Source organism: Homo sapiens, chromosome 18, assembly GCF_000001405.40.
Source record: "Homo sapiens chromosome 18, GRCh38.p14 Primary Assembly".
Lineage (NCBI taxonomy): Eukaryota > Metazoa > Chordata > Mammalia > Primates > Hominidae > Homo > Homo sapiens.
The window spans coordinates 23,883,492-23,901,630 of NC_000018.10; the positions used below are offsets into that span (position 1 = coordinate 23,883,492).

Here is an 18,139-nt window from a genome sequence, read left to right on the forward strand (position 1 = left end):
AGTGTGGATCACAAAGGCAGGCCTATATCAGCCCTTAACAGACACATGGGCCAAGTCCTAACATCACCAGAAGTCATGTGCCAAGTGTGGCTTCTCTGGAGAGACCTATTTGGAATGCTCACCCTGCTTTGCTGTCTATGTCTTTGATGCTCGTGAAGCCCGCCCCATCCTGCAGCTTTATTTGTCAAGGGATCAATCACATGAGCTTGCCCAGACTTGTTTGAAGAGAAGCTGGCAAAAGTAGAAAGCAGCGAGATTTCCACTGGGGTGCTTGGAAAAAGTTTTTCATTTTCATTTGCAAAGCGTAGTAGCATCAAGGTCAGCTTCCAGCTTCCATAAGTTGAAGTAACACGTAGGTCTTTGAATTTATCAGTAAAACTCTATTTGTATCTATTTCTCCTTCCTGCAATATTAATAGTGCTGACCAATGTCTAACTGTCTTTTGAGAGGCTTCCTAAACAGGCATTCTCTTACCAGCAAATGGAGTGATATTCCCTCAGATGTCATCAGTGTCATGTCCAGTGGCAGACAACAGGGCTTTTTCATGGTCTCTTTGGTGTGTGTGTGTGTGTGTGTGTGTGTGTGTGTGTGTGTGTGTGTGTGTGTGTTTAAAGCTGCTTCTAAAATATCATCACTTATTGCTTCTCAGCCTTTTGGCTAAAATCAAGTGTAAAATATCACCACTTTAGAGCTAAAAGAAAAGGGATCAAAATTCCACAACTTGGTTTGAAAAAAAAGTGAGAATCAGCAATGATTGTGCCCACAGAAATGCCGAGGCAGGCGAGTGGTCTCTGTGCATCTTTAGGGGGCTCCAGGGCCTGGCCTCCCCACCAACTTTTCTTCCCAGAAGGCAATGTGCCTGATAGAAAAGAACTAGAATCAACAAGGAGAACGTTTTTTTTTAAAGAATCAGAACTCTCTGTTCTTTTTTCTGCCTAGACTTGTTTTACTCCTTCCTTGTTATTCCTGGAAAAATGCTGTTGTAATCATCTCTTCCAAAGTGAGTTACTCTGCTCTGTCTTAAGGGGAAAAAATGCTCTTCCCCAAGGAACAAATAAAATAAATGCCTTCAGTCCTTGTTCACCAAAATTGCCCTGTGTCGGCTGAGATCATTCATCATTATCTCTCCAAGTCTTGATGGGCAAAATTTTCTTCACACAAAGTAACCAGACCCTGGGTTTCAGTGCTCACTTAATACAAGCCAGTCCTTTGTGGTAAAAAATAAGCATAAATCCTATCGATCTGTGTTTTTGATGGGGCCTTTTTCTGTCTTCTTTCAAGCTTTGCCACTGGCTGTGTGGTGAATGGGGGAGACGTGCGGTGCTCCTGCAAAGCTGGGTACACAGGAACACAGTGTGAAAGGTAAGGTGGGCGCCCCTCCCGCCTCAGCCTGCAGAGGGGGCGGGGAGGGCTGTGGGTGGGGCTGCCAGGTGCTGGCACAGAGCTAGGGGTGGGGCTGGGAGTTTGACTGAGGCCTGGAAAAAGGTCTCTTGGGAAAAATACAAGACTGCTCACCTAATAAATCATTAATATCATTCTCTTTCCTGCTTTGTACGTTTCAGAAAACTGAGAATGAGGCACAACGCATACACTCACCCACAAGTAGCTCTACCTACATCCCCCCAACACGCACCCCTGTGTACCTCAACCCCCGACACCTCCCTACCTACCCCTCCTCCACAATGATCTCTGCATACCCCCTATTTCGACATGTCCCTTCCACATATCTCCACATACACCTGCCCTCAACGTATCCCTACTTACCTGTACACATGTACAACTGTCTACACTCTTCCGTACACACACATATCCACAGCCCTAGCCTAGATAGCCCCCCCACCCCCCCACCCCCACCCCCACCCCACACACACCCCTCTATCCCCACACTATATTTTGAACACTTTCAGGACAATCTATGTCTTGTTTATTTCGGAATCCCTGGTTCCAAGAATGGTACTGTTCACATAATAGGTGTTCGGTAATGTTTGTGAAACAAAATAATAAATGTTGTGGAATGGAAACTGTAAAATTAATGACAAAGGGCTGCAGAACCAAGCTTTAGTTATTCATGGACAATTTTCATGATTAGCCACTATGCATAGGACACTGCCAAGTACTGAGAAAGATATAAAAGATACTTATAACCTAGCTGAGAAGAAAGCACACACATATTTGGGAAAGTAACAGTATGAAAAATGAATCATATGGTTTACATATTTTAAAATTTAAAATAACTTTCTCATAAAATCAATACATATTTATTATAAAATGATGAAAAACAAACGAGCAGAGAACCAGTGAGGGCCCCCCTACAACCTAGCCCTGTGCACTCAAACGCTTTCACATACAATCCTATTCATAATCATTTTGTCTACAGAAAGCCACTGTTAAAAAGCTGGCTGTTTGTTCCTACAAATCATTTCTAAATGTGTGAACCCTTAAAAAAAAAAGTAGATTCCTGTTTTACTTTCTGTTTTGACTTGTTTTCTTATCTAATACTATGTTAGTAATATCTCTCCATATCAGTAAGTATTCACTGATAACATCACATCAATGACCAAAAATTTCCACTGGGTTTCCATTATCTCCTACTCTTGGTCTTGGAGATCCTTTTACTGTTCTGCATTTAAAGCAACACTAAAATTAAATCCTTGCAGCTTAATATTTGTGTATGCATATCCTCAAGGTATAATTGTAAAAGTGGATTCTTTGGGTCAGAGGATAGGTTTTCCAGGCTTTTAATACTTTTTGCAAAATTGCCCTCCAGAAAAGTTTATATTCTTACAGCAGCAAAAGAGAATGAGTGACTACCTACCACAATGGATATTGGAAAGGATCAATATTTTAAATATTTGCTAATTAGGGCCAAGCATGGTGGCTCAAACTTGTAATCCCAGCACTTTGGGAGGCCAAGTTGGGAGGATTATTTCATGTGATCCAGAGGTTAGAGACCAACCTGGGCAGCATAGAGAGACCTCATCTCCATAATTTTTTTTTTTAATTAGCCAAGTGTGGTGGTGTGTGCCTGTGGTCCCAGCTACTTGGGATGCTGAGGTAGGAGAACCATATGAACCCAGGAGTTCGAGGCTGCAGTGAGCTATGATCGCACTACTGCATTCCAGCCTGGGCAACAGAAAAAAAAAAGCCAATTTGATAGAGAAAAATTGTGTATCATTTTAATTTACATTGTTTTGTTTAAACTTTAAAAGAGTTTGACTAATTTTTGTTTAACCGGAAAATGAATTCAACCAGATTTCAAGTAAGGCATAACCACCCTAGACTGGGGTTATCTGAAATGTTTATGGATAAGGTGGGACTTTGGTAGGTCCAAGGGGTTACTAGAACCCAGTGGAGCCAGAAGATGGAAGTGGGAGGCAGGTTAGGTTGGGGAAGCAAGGCAGAAAAGCCCAAGGGGCTGGAAGACACTTGCCATGTGTAGGAGGTGGGGACTGCCTTAGACTGGGGACACTGAGCAGCAGCTAAGGAGCCCAATTCTATGGCAAAAGATGGTAATGGAAGGTTCTTCTGTTTTCCATTTTCCATTTCAGCAAAAGGAGCATTTCTCACACTTGCCTTACACTTATTCAGTTATTCTTTCAATGAAAAATGTATGGAGGTCCTAGTATATATATGTCTGGCACAGTGCTAAGTACTGGAGGCACATTAACAAACAGCACAGACAGTGTCCTCAAGGGCTTTCCAGTCCAGTGGTGGACAGACATCAAAACATGCCATTAAAATAGCGAGAGATGGGAGAACTGGGCTAAGTTGAGCTGCAATTAGGAGGTATATCCAACCAGCGAGAAGGGAAGGATGTGGGGAGTGGGAAAGGATTCTAGGCTCTGAGGTTTAAAAGCCACAGGGGACCAACACCTGGGAGAGGCGTCCTAATTTCATCCTCTTTATGGCTCTTCACAAACAATGAAGCATTAAACAGCAACAGGCTCGGTGAGACATCCATTTGGCAGGCAAAATTTTTAATTAACAGTACTTCTCTCAGCTGATGTTTGTTATATCTGATGTCTCAAGAAAACAAGCTATTATTTCTTTAAAAAATTTTTTGAAGCTTTTTCATGGATAAATGCCATTTTATGTCAACATTTTTCATTTGTTAGACACAGCACCCAGACATCATTCCTGGCACTAGTGATTAACTACACAATGATAAACACAAGGACAGTCAAGGGTGAAAAGCAGGAATATAGATTATGCAGGAGACTAGCTGGATAGAAGCCAGAGTGGCCAGCTGTGGGGAGGGTTTCGCAAAGGCTTTCCAGCCCATGCATGCTCTTACCCCTCTTCTCCCTCAGACACACAGGGCCACACAAGACAAGCCTATTTTCTGCTCTTTATTTGTTGTACCAATGTCATTCGTGAAATCAGGAGGTTTTACTTCAGTCCTTTGGGTTTAGCCACTGCCATAAATTGAGAATAAGAGAACCAGTTATTTCTTATAACCAGTAAGTAATGCTTTGCAAGAGTAAGGAAGAAGTAGAATCGAACTTCCTGAATATTTCTGTGATTTAAATATAAGGTACTTTGTAATTATGCATCTATTACATGGGAAGTTTAGATGTAGGTAAGAAAGACATCAAAAATAAAGTATTCTAGAACACAGAGCTTCTGCATAACATGATCTGTTAGGTAGAATACCAAGCCAGTCACAAAGTAAAGCCCTATTATTAGTATATGACCACCCTGCTTAGTAGACTTAAATAGGCCACCTCAGCCTAGTTACCTTCTGGATTATTAGGGGATACATGGGCCTTCTGCTTTCTTGTAATAATTTCAAATGATGCCAATTAGAAGATGAATATTTTGTCATGTCTTATTACGATAGCTACCCTTCATTGTCTGTTATGTGCAGATATTACGCTAGATTCTTTATTACATTATCTCATATTCACTGAGCAAAATAGGTATTATTAGTCCACTCACTTATTCATTCAACAAATGAATGAATATGTGCCAGGTGACCGTAGGGATATATCAGTGAGCAAAACAGCCCAAAACTCCACATCTTCATGGAGCTTATATTTTCATGGGGGCTGTGGGGGGGACCGGTAAAGAAACTGAAGCACAGAGGGTTACAGCAACAGCCCAAGATCACACTAGTAAGTAGTAGAGATAGGAGTCCAGCCAGATCTTACTGATCCTTTACATTATATCAACAGTGTATCCATGGTAATACATTGGTGAAGTATATTGGAAGTACATGGTAACGTGTATTGGAATTGCCTAATTTTTTTTGATGCAGTGCTTAAATTTGGGGAAATGAGGTAAATACCATATTCCCTTGAGTCTATCAAGTCAATTGATGATAAGACACCACACATCAGTTTAATGACAATTTGGGGGTGACTGGATGGGGAGTGGAACTTTATTAATGGAAATATTGTAATTGACATCCCAACTCCAGGAGCATGAATATGTGCTTATTTGACTTTAAAAAAAAAAAAAAATCAAAGAATCAAGGAAATGTGATCTTTAAACTTGTAAACCAGTAATGAGTTCTCATTACTATACTATCTAGAATAAAAAAGGCTCAGGGCCAAAGGTAGCAGCTGTAACTGCTCTCAGTTGTTTAAGAGTCATTATATACAGCACGGCAGCAATTAGTGCAAATATGAATTATGCAGACTTGACATAGTGCAGGCCAGGTGCAGTGGTTCATGCCTGTAATCCCAGCACTTTAGATACTGAGGCAGGAGGATCACTTGAGCCCAGGAGTTCAAGACCAGCCTGGGCAACATAGCAAGACCTTATCTCTGCTAAATATTAAAAAATTAACCAGGCCTGGTGGCATGCACCTGTAGTTCCAGTTTTTTGGGAGGCTGAGGCAGAAGGATTGCTTGAGCCCAGAAGTTCAAGACCAGTCTGGGCAATATAGCAAGACCTCATCTCTACTAAAAATTAAAAAATTAGCCAGAAATGGTGGCATGCACCTGTGGTCTGAGTTTCTTGGGAGGCTGAGACAGAAGGATTGCTTGAGTGCAGAAGTTCGAGGTTGCAGTGAGCTGTGATTGTGCCATTGTACTCCAGCCTGGAGAACAGAGTAAGACTGTCAAGAAAGAAAAGAAAGAAAGAAAGAAAAGAGAGAAATAAAGAAAGAAAGAAAAAGGAAAGGAAAGGAAAAAAGAAAAGAAGAGAAGAGGAAGGGAAGGGAGGAGGGAGGGGGGAGGGAGGAAGGAAGGAAGGAAGGAAGGGAGGGAGGAAGGGAGGAAGGAAGGAAGAAAGGAAGGAAAGGAAGGAAGAAATAATGCAATAGGAAATATTAAGAAACTCCTCCCTCATTCAAAAAATTGGAAATTACATGGATCTTACTTCAGATTTATTTCTGTGAGACAATTCAAGGGGTAAATACCTCTGTATTGAGAAATATTCATTCTTGCAGATCTATGTCGGTCTTCCACCCATTGGGTTACAATATCCCAAACAGAGAGCTAGAGATTGAGAAAATTGGTTGAGATAAACGATGAGTTATTTGGGTGTTTCTCCTCCTCTCTATATTTTGTGTAGGTGTGCACCGGGATATTTCGGGAATCCCCAGAAATTCGGAGGTAGCTGCCAACCATGCAGTTGTAACAGCAATGGCCAGCTGGGCAGCTGTCATCCCCTGACTGGAGGTAAGGCCGACCCACACCCCTGCTAACTTGCATTTATAAAGCTGGTATAACTTAACAGCCTAAGAACCCAAGCACACATCTTCAGGATGCATAATACACAATTCCAGCCAGCAAGCTGTCCCCAGGATGCATAATACACAATTCCAGCCAGCAAGCTGTCCCCTTGTTTTGACAAACCTGGGAATGCTTAGATAGTATTTTCAGCTTTGGTGAATAACCTGTTTCAATGCACTTTTTTTTTTTAAAAAGTGAATTGTTTTTGAAACTTACCTAATTATAACCAAAATAACTTCAGATCCTACTTTGGTGATTTTGCTGAGATCTCCCTTTGATATTGTAGGGTTATTGTCTCATCAGCTTTCCCGTGTGTGTCTGAAGAAATTGAAATACTCTTTATCTTACAGCAGTACATGTTCTGGGATGTGGGTGGGTAATTGGGGTGGATTTTATACACCAAGAAAAAGATAATTAGCAGAAGTTAGTATGGTTTATTAGGAGCAACTTGGAACAAAAAGGAAGACTATCCTCTTCCTTCTTTGACAGAATATTAATAGGATTAATCAGGAAAATGCTATTGATGTAGTGTGACACCAAACACTTAGATAAAATCTTTCATCTTATATTTATGGACAAGTTGAAGAACTAAACCCTGGATATGTGGATTCCAGCTGGTCAAGTGACTATCCCCAAAGGAATGCAGAGTAAATGGATTAATGCCAGTCTAGAATGGGGTATTTATTGTCATGCCTCAGGACTTCATCCTTGGCTCCACATTTTTTATTTGGATGGAAATATAGAAAGCATGCCTACCCATTTATCAGATGACACAAAGTTGGGAAGAACAGTAAAGGGACCAAGGGAAAACTTCCCCTTCACCTACAGAAGGTTTACAGAAAATCAGTGGACAAAAGGCAGATTAATAGGAGAAAAGGCGTACACAATTTTATTTTAATGTGTGTAACACAGGAGAATCACAGGACAATGATTACCCAATAACCCAGTGGGGCACAGATGCTTATGTACCCTTCTTCTTAGGGGAAAGAGAGATGCGGAAATGTGGATGATTTTAAGGGGAATGGTAAATGATTTTTAGGCTGACTCAGTGGACTCAGAGAACATATAGTGAGGCCTGGGACAAAATCTTTTGGGCCCACAGAACAGACAATGGTTTGTGACAAGAGTCTGTCCAGGTGTGTTGACAGACTTCAGTCTTTCTCCCTGAAATATGAGTTAAATTAATGAAAACTCATGGAGGAAACCAGAAGTAGTTTGTTTTCATTTTTGGCAAGTCTGAATGTTGGGAAGATAAGTGGGTATCAGAGTAAAGTTTTTTCCGGCATCTGCTGGTCTCCAAGGGCCTTCAATTTAAAATAATCAGCCCACCAGGGTGCCATATTTTGGGGTGAAATTCCCTGGTCTTCTCCAATAGTAAGTGCCTCCCATGACATTAAGAATTCAGAAGGGCCTCAACAGTCTAGAATGATGGGCCAATTCAACCAGACAAAATGATGTTAAGGATAAGGGTGTGGTCCTGTAGTTGAGTGGAAAAAATAAATAAACCTTTAGCTATGTGATAAGTGGTAACTGGCTTAGTAGCAGGAGGTGTAAAAAAGCTTAAGGTTGTCATCAGCAGTCAGTGCAGGGTAGGTTAGAGTGTGGTGTGGCCCCTAAGATAGCTCGTACTGTCTTCACTGAGTTCCATTGTCTAAAGCCGGGGTCCATGGCACACTGCTCATGTAAGTCCTCACGTGAGAGTTAGTTACATCTTTAGAAGACAATAGAAGAGCTATAGTTGTTCAGAAAGAGAGTAAGACTCTGAAGGGATGTGGAACTGTGTCACACGAGGAAGGATTGACCAGGGCAGTGAAAGGAAGAGCTGGAAAGGACATGTTTGTTAGGCTGGCGTGTGGGAAAGGGTTGGTATTGTTCTCTGAGACATAAGGGACAGAACTTAGAGCAAAGAGTAGAAGCAAGAGGAAGCTCTATTTTAAATGATTCTAAGGAAGAAGTGTCTAATGCTTAAAGATGAAACAGATTGCTTTAAAAGGAGGCAATTTCTCCTGTCACTGGAGGTATTCAAGAAGCTTCAACATCACGCACAGCTTACTCGCCAGACTAATGCCTCTGCAACCCTCATTTCCCCCACGCCAGTAACAAAAATCAGCAACATGAAATGAGGATAGTAACTATTTGTTCCCAAAATGGAAGAAAATGCTTATGTATGAGACTTGCTTATTCCTGTTAGAGTTTTGTTGTTGTTGTTTTTTATTCTTTTTTTTTTTCTTCAACTAATAAGGGACACATTCCTTGGTGGTCAAAATGCAAGCTTGTTAGGAAAATTCCACTAATAAATCAATCATCCAGAGAAGCCTAGTCCCCCATAAACTATTCAGGCTGCTGTTGAAAATTGTCAAGGAAACAAGACCATGCTTGCTGGCCAGAAGCCATTTACAGGCTAACTGAGGAAATAGAAGTATCACAATATATACATATAAGAGCAAATGGCCGGGCATGGTGGCTCATGCCTGTAATCCCAGCACTTTGGGAGGCTGAGGTGGGTGGATCACCTGAGGTCAGGAGTTTGAGACCAGCCTGGCCAACATGGGGAAACCCTGTCTCTACTAAAAATACAAAAATTAGCTGGGTGTGGTGGCAGATGCCTGTAATCTCAGCTACTTGGGAGGCTGAGGCAGGAGAATCGCTTGAACCCAGGAGGCAGAGGTTGCAGTGAGCTGAGATAGCACCACTGCACTCCAGCTTGGGTGACAAGAGCGAAACTCTGTCTCAAAAAAAAAAAAAAAAAAAGCAAGTAAGGCTTTTTTTAAAAAGGAACCCATGATTATATATAATAAATTAAAATGTATATAAATATTTATAAAGGGAACATTGTCTTTGAGTGGCAGGATCAAGGATGATGCTTTTATTTCATTTTTCTGACTTCCCCATATTTTCCATAATTAATTTATATTATTTTTTACAATTAAAAGTAAATGTGGTTTAAAATGTCTGTATATACACACAAAGTGTGGAATATTATTGGCTGGTGAGAATAACAGATGTGAAAGCCTCTTGTAGCTTGTCCAGGAAAATGTTAAGCATAGAGTTTTGCTGTTGTGAAGGTAGATAGTTTGTTCAGGGGGAAGTGAGAGGACATGTCAATGTCAGAATGCATGGCATGGGGAAAACAGTACATGTGGAAGGGGTCAAGAATGCCCAGGGTTGACCAGCAGGCTTTACTGTAGCTGAGAACCTCAAAACTCAGCTTATCCAGCCCGGCCAATATGGTGAAACCCCGTCTCTACTAAAAATACAAAAATTAGCCAGGCATGGTGGTGCGCGCCTGTAGTCCCAGCTACTTGGGAGGCTGAGGCAGGAGAATCGGTTGAATCTGGGAGGCAGAGATTGCAGTGAGCTGACATCGCACCACTGCAGTCCAACCTGGGTGAGAGAGTGAGACTCCCCCCTCCCCACCGGCCAAAAAAAACAAAAACAAAAACTCAGCTTATATGTGCTGTAGTTGGTGGTGTGGGCCCACTGACATTGTATGCCCATCACTATCACCACATCTGTCACACTGTTTTGTAACTTGTCTGCCCCCCGTGTTTCATGGGACTGTTAAGTCACAGAGCAGCAGGGATTTTGTCTTGATATCTTTGTATTTCCAGCAGCTAGCATGGGGCTCTGTTACACTGTAAATGCTCAAAGGTGCTCAGTGAATGTTTGCACAATGTTCTTGAATGATGCCAGAAGCAGCATGAACATACAAGAGGCTCTTCAATGAAGAAAGCCCTAATGCGAATGATCGAGACGTTTGATTTGATAAGAAAACATGGCCCTTTATAGAGTTGACCTTTGTAGTGAAGGAATTGAATATATAACAGGGAGGCCACAAAAGCAGTTCCTGCAGCGAGCCTGCTGGGAGATGAGAAGGCTTCCTGGGCACTGGCATGGGTGAGGGAGGGAAAAGGAAGAGCTAGCGATGCTGGGTAGTTGGGTGTCTATTAGGTTGGTGCAAAAGTAATTGTGGGTTTTGCCATTACTTAAAATGGTGAAAACCACAATTACTTTTGCACCAAACTAATAAAACTTTGCAAAACTAGCTTTTCTGAAAACCAAGTTAAAGAGCAGATGAAAAGTAAGTTTAATAACTATGTCTTCTTTGGTTATTTTCTGATTTTAGACTGCATAAACCAAGAACCCAAAGATAGCAGCCCTGCAGAAGAATGTGATGGTGAGAAAAGAAAGCCCCTCCTCCTCCTTTCCAAGTTGTGGGGTTTGGTTTAAGATATGTGAGCACCATGCTGGGTCATGCAGTTTCCAGTCTGGGAAAGTAAGGGTGGGAGGAGGTGGAAGGACTACTTAGGGTCAAATCAGCTTCTCTCTGTATGACCTTCAGCAGGGGACCCTGCTTCTCCAAGCCTCAGTTTCATCATTTGCTAAGTTAACATGATAACTAGACCTACCTTATAGGGATATTAGGGAAGTGCTTGTAAATGTCTTATCACAATGCCTGGTAAATTGCAAGCATCCCATAGATGAAGGCTATTATTATTTTCCTTATGTGTAAAGTAAGCAACCAGTTGCATGGAATCTCCATTTCTAAAATGCTCCCTGTGCACAGGGCTCTCCTTTTTTCAGAATCCACATCCATCCCTGAGAAGGCCAGGGCTGTGGTTGTCACCCGTGACGATCTGCGTGCATGCCAACTGGGCTGCATAGCACTTGTGGTCTTTTCGCAGTCCCACGGCTCCCCCCACAGCACATTTGCCTTTGATTGTGGCCCCTACAGATTGCGACAGCTGTGTGATGACCCTCCTGAACGACCTGGCCACCATGGGCGAGCAGCTCCGCCTGGTCAAGTCTCAGCTGCAGGGCCTGAGTGCCAGCGCAGGGCTTCTGGAGCAGATGAGGCACATGGAGACCCAGGCCAAGGACCTGAGGGTAAATCCCCTGCGGCCGAGAGTAGACACGTGGGGAGGAGATGCTGCGGGAGTGGATTCTCCATAAGCAGGAAGGGAAAGGTTGACTCCTGGAAAGGCTCAGGGGTTGTCCTCCTTCCTCTGATCCAAATGAAGATAAGACTTTTCCTGGTGGAAAATCATTTTTGTGAACACACAAAACTAGCACATCTGGGTGAACAATACTTACTGAACATTTCCAGGTGAGTTTTTCTCATCGAGCCTTTATTTCAGTATCTTGCATTCAGAAGACTCAAACACAGGTTTGTGTTAAGTTGGTATTAACTCTTCTTTAAATGTTGGATAGAATTTTTCCAGTGAAGCCATGTGAGCCTGGAATTTTCTTTGTTGGAAGTTGTGGTTTTTGAAAATAAGCCATGAATTTAATTTTCAAAGAATAGGTATGAGACTACAGTATTTGGGCTATGTGTTTCTTCTTGAGTGATACTTGGTCATTTGCACCTTTCAAATAATATGTCAATTTCATCTAAATTACCAAATATATTGACATAAAATTGTTCATAATGTTCCCTTATTATCCTTTGTACATCTGCAAAGTCTATAAAGATGCCTTCTTATTCATTTTCTGATAATGATAATTTATGACTTATCTCTTTCTCTTATTTTGGCTAGAGTATTACCAATGTTGTTGATCCTTTTATTTCATTGATTTTATCCATTGTTTATCTATTTTCAATTTCATTGATTTCTGTTCTTATCCTTTTTTTTTCCTTCCTTGTGCTTGCTTTGGGTGAAACTTGCTATTCATTTTCTGGTTTCCTAAGCTTATTTTACTGATTCAAAATCTTTCTTGATTCTAACGTAGGCATATAATCCTATCAGTTTTATCACTAAGCACTGCTTTAGCTGTATCCCACACACCTTGCAATGTTATGTTTTCATTCTCATTCAGTTCAATGGATTTTCTGATTTTCCTTGTGACGTATCTGTAACCCATGTGTTATTTAGAAATGTGTTGACCAGGCATGGTGGCTCATGCCTGTAATCCCAGCGCTTTGGGAGGCCGAGGCGGGTAGATCACTTGAGCCCAGGACTTGGAGACCAGCCTGGCCAACATGGTGAAACTCCAACTCTACTAAAAATACAAAAATTAGCCAGGCATGATGGCACATGCCTGTAGTCCCAGCTACTTGGGAGGCTGAGGCAGGAGAATCACTTGAACCCCAGAGGCAGAGGTTGCAGTGAGCTGAGATGGTGCCACTGCACTCCAGCCTGGGTGACACAGCGAGACTCCATCTCAAAAAACAAAAGCAAAAACAAAAAACAAAAACAAAAAAGAAATGTGTTGTTTAATATCCAAATTGGGGGATTTTCCAGATAACTTTGTGTTACTGGTTTCTAATTTAACTCTTTCATGGTCAGAGAACACGCTTTCCATGATTTCAGTCCTTTTAAATGTGTTGAGGTTTGTTTCATTGCTCAGAATGTGGTCCATTTGGGTGAATGCTGTATGTATACTTAGATGGAATATGGCTGAGAGGGTATCCTAAGAAGTAATAGAACCTATTTCCCTGAGGGGAAATAGGGGATGCTGTGCCCATGAATGGGGGCTAAAAAGCAGCCTGGAAGCTGCCCAATGCTCATCGTTGGGTGATGGCCACATGAGAGCCTAGCAAAGCTTACAGGGGCAGGACAAATCTACAGACCTGGATCTATGCTGGAATGTTACATACTCTCAACGCCACTATGGTATATAAATCCTAAACTGCCAAAGTAAGACCTGGTCCTAGACCGTGGGTTGGAGGTTCGAGTAGGGGTGGTGATAAGCATAAGAGCACTAGACAGGGCCCAGAGAGCACAAAGAAAGGGGAACTCCCACCCAGAAAGAGCCTGCAAACATTGTTAGCAGAGAAGTAATAAGAAAGACACCCAACAGAAGCAACAGTCAAGAGATGAGTTCACTTCGGATAAAATGAAAACAACAGGACAATCTGAAAATGACTTTGCAGAATGACACCCAATAGAAGGAACAAGAAATTAGGAAATTTGAGGGGGAAACCTCCAGAAATCAAACAAGAAGAGGTAGATAGGAAAAGACCCAATTGAAAATCATGGAAATGAAAAAATACACTCATTGAAGTAAAAGAATTCAGTAGATGAGATCAGCTCTAGTCTAGACACAGTGAACAAGGCTTTGGGGAAAGTTTAATAAGTACTTTTGGGTTGAGGGCTGATTCTAGTGACTATAGCTGAGTATATATAGCAAAAGATTATTCTAGAAAAATGACTCTTTCCTATCCTTTTGCATAACTTTAGTCCAAGGTTTATAGGCTTAATATGGAGAAGAGGAGGGAAAAGCATTTATGTCTTGAGGGGAAAAAAAAGGAAGCCACTGGCTTGCTTGGATTTCATCAACATGGCCCTGCAGCCTTCACCATTCTGCACACACGCTGTTTGCCACACCCTGTGCTAAGGGCTTTACTCAAGTCTCACAACCTCCTCATGAGGAACCTAGTGTTGTTCTCATTAAACAGGCATGGAGAAGCTGAGAAACTTGCCTAGAATCATGGTGGTTCTGGAAGAATTCAAATCAAGATCAAATTCTAAAGACCATGCTTTACCCACTCCACTTCTTATCCAGGTGTTCTGCTGACAATCTATATAATGACTTGCCTCCCTTTCCCCAAAGTAAAGTTAAAATAGAACTATCTTCTTGCTGTATCACACAAACATGCGAAAATTAAGAAAGATTACGTATAAGAAGGGAAGTAACATTTTTGAATGCTCATATGTACATGACATTTTACAATACATTAGCTCGCTTATCACCAAAACCAACCCTGCAGCTAAATACGATAATCCCCAATTTACTAATGGAAGAGCAAGGCTTAGTGAGGCTCATCTATCATGTGGCAGACTAAGGGTTTGGACCTAGGCTTTATTTAAAGCCTGTATTCTTTTACCCAACACTGGTTCTGACATACATATTGAGGTAATAATATCATTTTTTCCTATAAACTTTTTCAATATATTAATACTTTTTCCAAAAAATGGAAAATAATCACCATTCTAGATATTACGTGCAGTAGTGTCTAAGGGTCTAAGAGTAATGAGGCAATTTAGCCTAAAAAAAGGGCAAGGGACCCGGATTATGGTCCTGAAGCAATCACCGATGAGCTATACAACCGTGGACAAGTCACCCGACTTCTTTGGGCTTCCATTTTCTCAGTTGCAATATGAGGCTGTTCAGCTACAAGAGCTCTGAGTTCCCTGTGGTTCTGTTGGACGAGATTCTTTGAATAGATTCTTAATGATTCCTTCATTCAAGTAGCCATATGCACTGCTTTTAGTGTTGTCAGGTTAACTGCAGGTTTTTAAAAAACTGTATTTATTATAGAATCTGGAAATTAATCAGGTAAGTAGTATCACCCTCATTTCTATAAGGTTAGGTCATTAATTCAAGTGAAGTAGCTCTTATCTCTTCACATTTGTCACATTTGCTACTTTATTTTAGAGCCATATCACAATGTACATCAGAAAATAGATTCCTTATGTAACCTATTTCCAAGAACCACATTTGTGTGTGTGTGGAACTGAAAATGGTCTTGCCAAATGATTCTTCATTTATAACCCTGTTGACCAGGTTGATAGGACTTAGTCTTTATACTGTAAAGTGACATTCATTTGTGTTTTGTTTCCAGAATCAGTTGCTCAACTACCGTTCTGCCATTTCAAATCATGGATCAAAAATAGAAGGCCTGGAAAGAGAACTGACTGATTTGAATCAAGAATTTGAGACTTTGCAAGAAAAGGTAATGTGTTAGGTCCATTTAACTTTGGGGTTTTTTTGCTTTCAAAGTATTTTTATTTTTCCTTATTGACTTAATTTGCTGCTAATCAATTTATTTTTCATATAGGCTCAAGTAAATTCCAGAAAAGCACAAACATTAAACAACAATGTTAATCGGGCAACACAAAGCGCAAAAGAACTGGATGTGAAGATTAAAAATGTCATCCGGAATGTGCACAGTAAGAAGAGTTATTAAGCCCAATTACATTTTTTTTGGTTACATAACCTTCATTGTACACTAAAAGAATTCCCTTTAAGATTTCAACATTATGAAAAGAATCCCATAGTGATACTAAAAAACTAATATAAAATCTCCATAGAAGTTTCTACCTTTTTTTTTTTTTAAGTAGCCTACTGGAGCCCAGAATTCCCAGTCTAATAGACCACTTGATGTTTCCTAGTTCTTTTAAAGCAGATCTCTGGGACAGATGGAGAGGGAAACAACGTGCCTTCAGGTGACTTTTCCAGAGAGTGGGCTGAAGCCCAGCGCATGATGAGGGAACTGCGGAACAGGAACTTTGGAAAGCACCTCAGAGAAGCAGAAGCTGATAAAAGGGAGTCGCAGCTCTGTAAGAATGCTCCCAAATTCTTGCATCCAGTCCATTCTAATTGATTTGAAACACAACGTGCAGAGTGCAATGTAGAGTTCCCCGTTATAGGTGGAAGGCCTCATGGTTTCAGCGAATATTACTGTTAGAGCATCACGTGGTGAAAATTGGTAGCCCCCAGGAGTCCCAGGTTACCAACGGGCTGTAGAATATAACAGCTTACCATCATGCAAAGAAAAAAAAAAAGTTCTTCTAAAAGTTAGATATGGTTGCCTCTTTTTCCTTCTTAACTGCATTTTTCTGATGCTTATTCACCTCTTTCCAGTTTTCTCATTACATCATTATTAATGGTCACCTCACCACTACTGAATTTTTGAATCACAAATTGATATTAGCACTACTACAGATTGAGTTTCCCTTTCCAAAATGCTTGGGACCAGACGTGTTTCAGATTTTTGATTTTTTTGGATTTTGGAATATTTGCATAGACTTAATGAGACCTCTTGGAGATGGGACCCCAGTCTAAACATAAAATTTATTTACGTTTCATTTACATCTTATACACATATATCGAAGGTAATTTTATACAATATTTTTAATAATTCTGTGCATGAAATGAACTTTGTGTGTGTGTGCGTGTGTGTGTGTGTGTATGTGACAGAGTCTCACTCCATTACTCAGGCTGGAGTGCAGTAGTGTGATCTCAACTCACTGCAACCTTCACCTCCTGAGTTCAAGCGGTTCTCATGCCTCAGACTGAGCAATAGCTGGGATTACAGGTGCCTGCCACCATGCCTGGCTAATTTTTATATTTTTAGTAGAGACAGGGTTTTACCATTTTGGCCAGGCTGGTCTCAAACTCCTGACATCAAGCAATACGCCTGCCTTGGTCTCCCAGTGTGCTGAGATTACAGGCGTGAGCCACCGCACCCAGCCTCTGAAATGAACTTTTGACTGCATTTTGACTGCAACCTGTCACATGAGGTCAGATGTGGAATTTTCTATTTGTGGCATCATGTCATTGCTCAAAAATGTCAGATTTTGAAGCATTTCAGATTTTGGCTTTTTAGATTAGGGATGTTCAAATTTGTATTACAAAAACAAAAAAAGGATATACTAGAAATTAACAGAATACATCAAAAGGTTTTGACTAGAGAAAATGCCTCGTTAGTTCAAAACTGAGAAATATTAGTTTAGTGCATACTTTTTACAGATACTGGTATTTATTCTTTAATAAAATGATGTATCAGTGGTTAATATACAGATACTAGCAGTTTTCTTGCTTAAATTTTTATTGTTCAAATTTAATATGAGTCTTGGCTTTTAATTGTAAGTAGGCAGTATTCACAGTGGAAGGAGCATGCACTTTACCCCCTGCAGCCAGCTCAAGTTCAAGTCCTAAGCCCGACTGGCCATGTAACCTTGGGTCAGTCCTCTCATTTCTCAAGGCTTCCATCTCTTTATCTAAAACATGAGAATGATAATTTATTGTTTTCCTGTGGAAGTTAAATGAGGCAACATGTACAGTGCACATAGCAGGTCTGTGTCAATGTGAGTTTCCTTTCCCATCCCCTCCAAAGTTCAAGGAAAACCATGAAATGAGTAGAAACTCGATTCTCCCTTTGTAGTTTTTATAACCCAGCTTCAGTATGCTCATCTGTCAAATAGAAAACATGAGGTGATGTATTACAGTGCTGAACCGGATAAGGACCTGGCAGAAAACCCACCAGGGGGAGAACAATGGGCTTGCTAACAGTATCCGGGATTCTTTAAATGAATACGAAGCCAAACTCAGTGACCTTCGTGCTCGGCTGCAGGAGGCAGCTGCCCAAGCCAAGCAGGCAAATGGCTTGAACCAAGAAAACGAGAGAGCTTTGGGAGCCATTCAGGTGAGTTCACAGTTTGAAGTTGCACACTTTCGTTAATAAGGATGAGAGAAGCAGGGATCTTTATTATTAATAAAGTGGCATAGCCAGGCACCTGTCTGTACATCTCATTATACCACCTCAGACCCAGATCAGACAGGAACAAAGCGTTAAGTGCAAAACCATAGTTGTTTCTAGTCTTCAGCTACCAGAAAAGATTCTGAACTTAAACCACAGACAAAGCAGTGCAAACTGCTTCACCTGCATCCCCAGCTGAAAGAGTGTTGGAGGAATAATGTTGCCAAATAGATGAGAAATTAATATTGCTATA

The 18,139-nt window shown here is 41.0% G+C and overlaps 1 protein-coding gene across 15 annotated transcripts in view; it reads left to right on the forward strand.

Moving 5' to 3' along the window:
- Nucleotides 1–18,139, forward strand: part of LAMA3 (laminin subunit alpha 3) — a 265,614-nt gene that overhangs the window by 194,039 nt on the left and 53,436 nt on the right. For 13 of the 15 annotated variants that reach the window (XM_011525978.3, XM_011525982.3, XM_011525980.3 and 10 more), the window contains 8 exons: nucleotides 1,282–1,362; nucleotides 6,520–6,626; nucleotides 10,807–10,857; nucleotides 11,416–11,567; nucleotides 15,247–15,357; nucleotides 15,463–15,574; nucleotides 15,797–15,964; nucleotides 17,636–17,832. In XM_011525978.3, coding sequence (XP_011524280.1) covers nucleotides 1,282–1,362; nucleotides 6,520–6,626; nucleotides 10,807–10,857; nucleotides 11,416–11,567; nucleotides 15,247–15,357; nucleotides 15,463–15,574; nucleotides 15,797–15,964; nucleotides 17,636–17,832 — 979 coding nt within the window. The remainder of the gene's footprint in view (nucleotides 1–1,281; nucleotides 1,363–6,519; nucleotides 6,627–10,806; nucleotides 10,858–11,415; nucleotides 11,568–15,246; nucleotides 15,358–15,462; nucleotides 15,575–15,796; nucleotides 15,965–17,635; nucleotides 17,833–18,139) is intronic. The other 2 variants (NM_001127717.4, NM_001127718.4) reach the window with 1 other exon arrangement.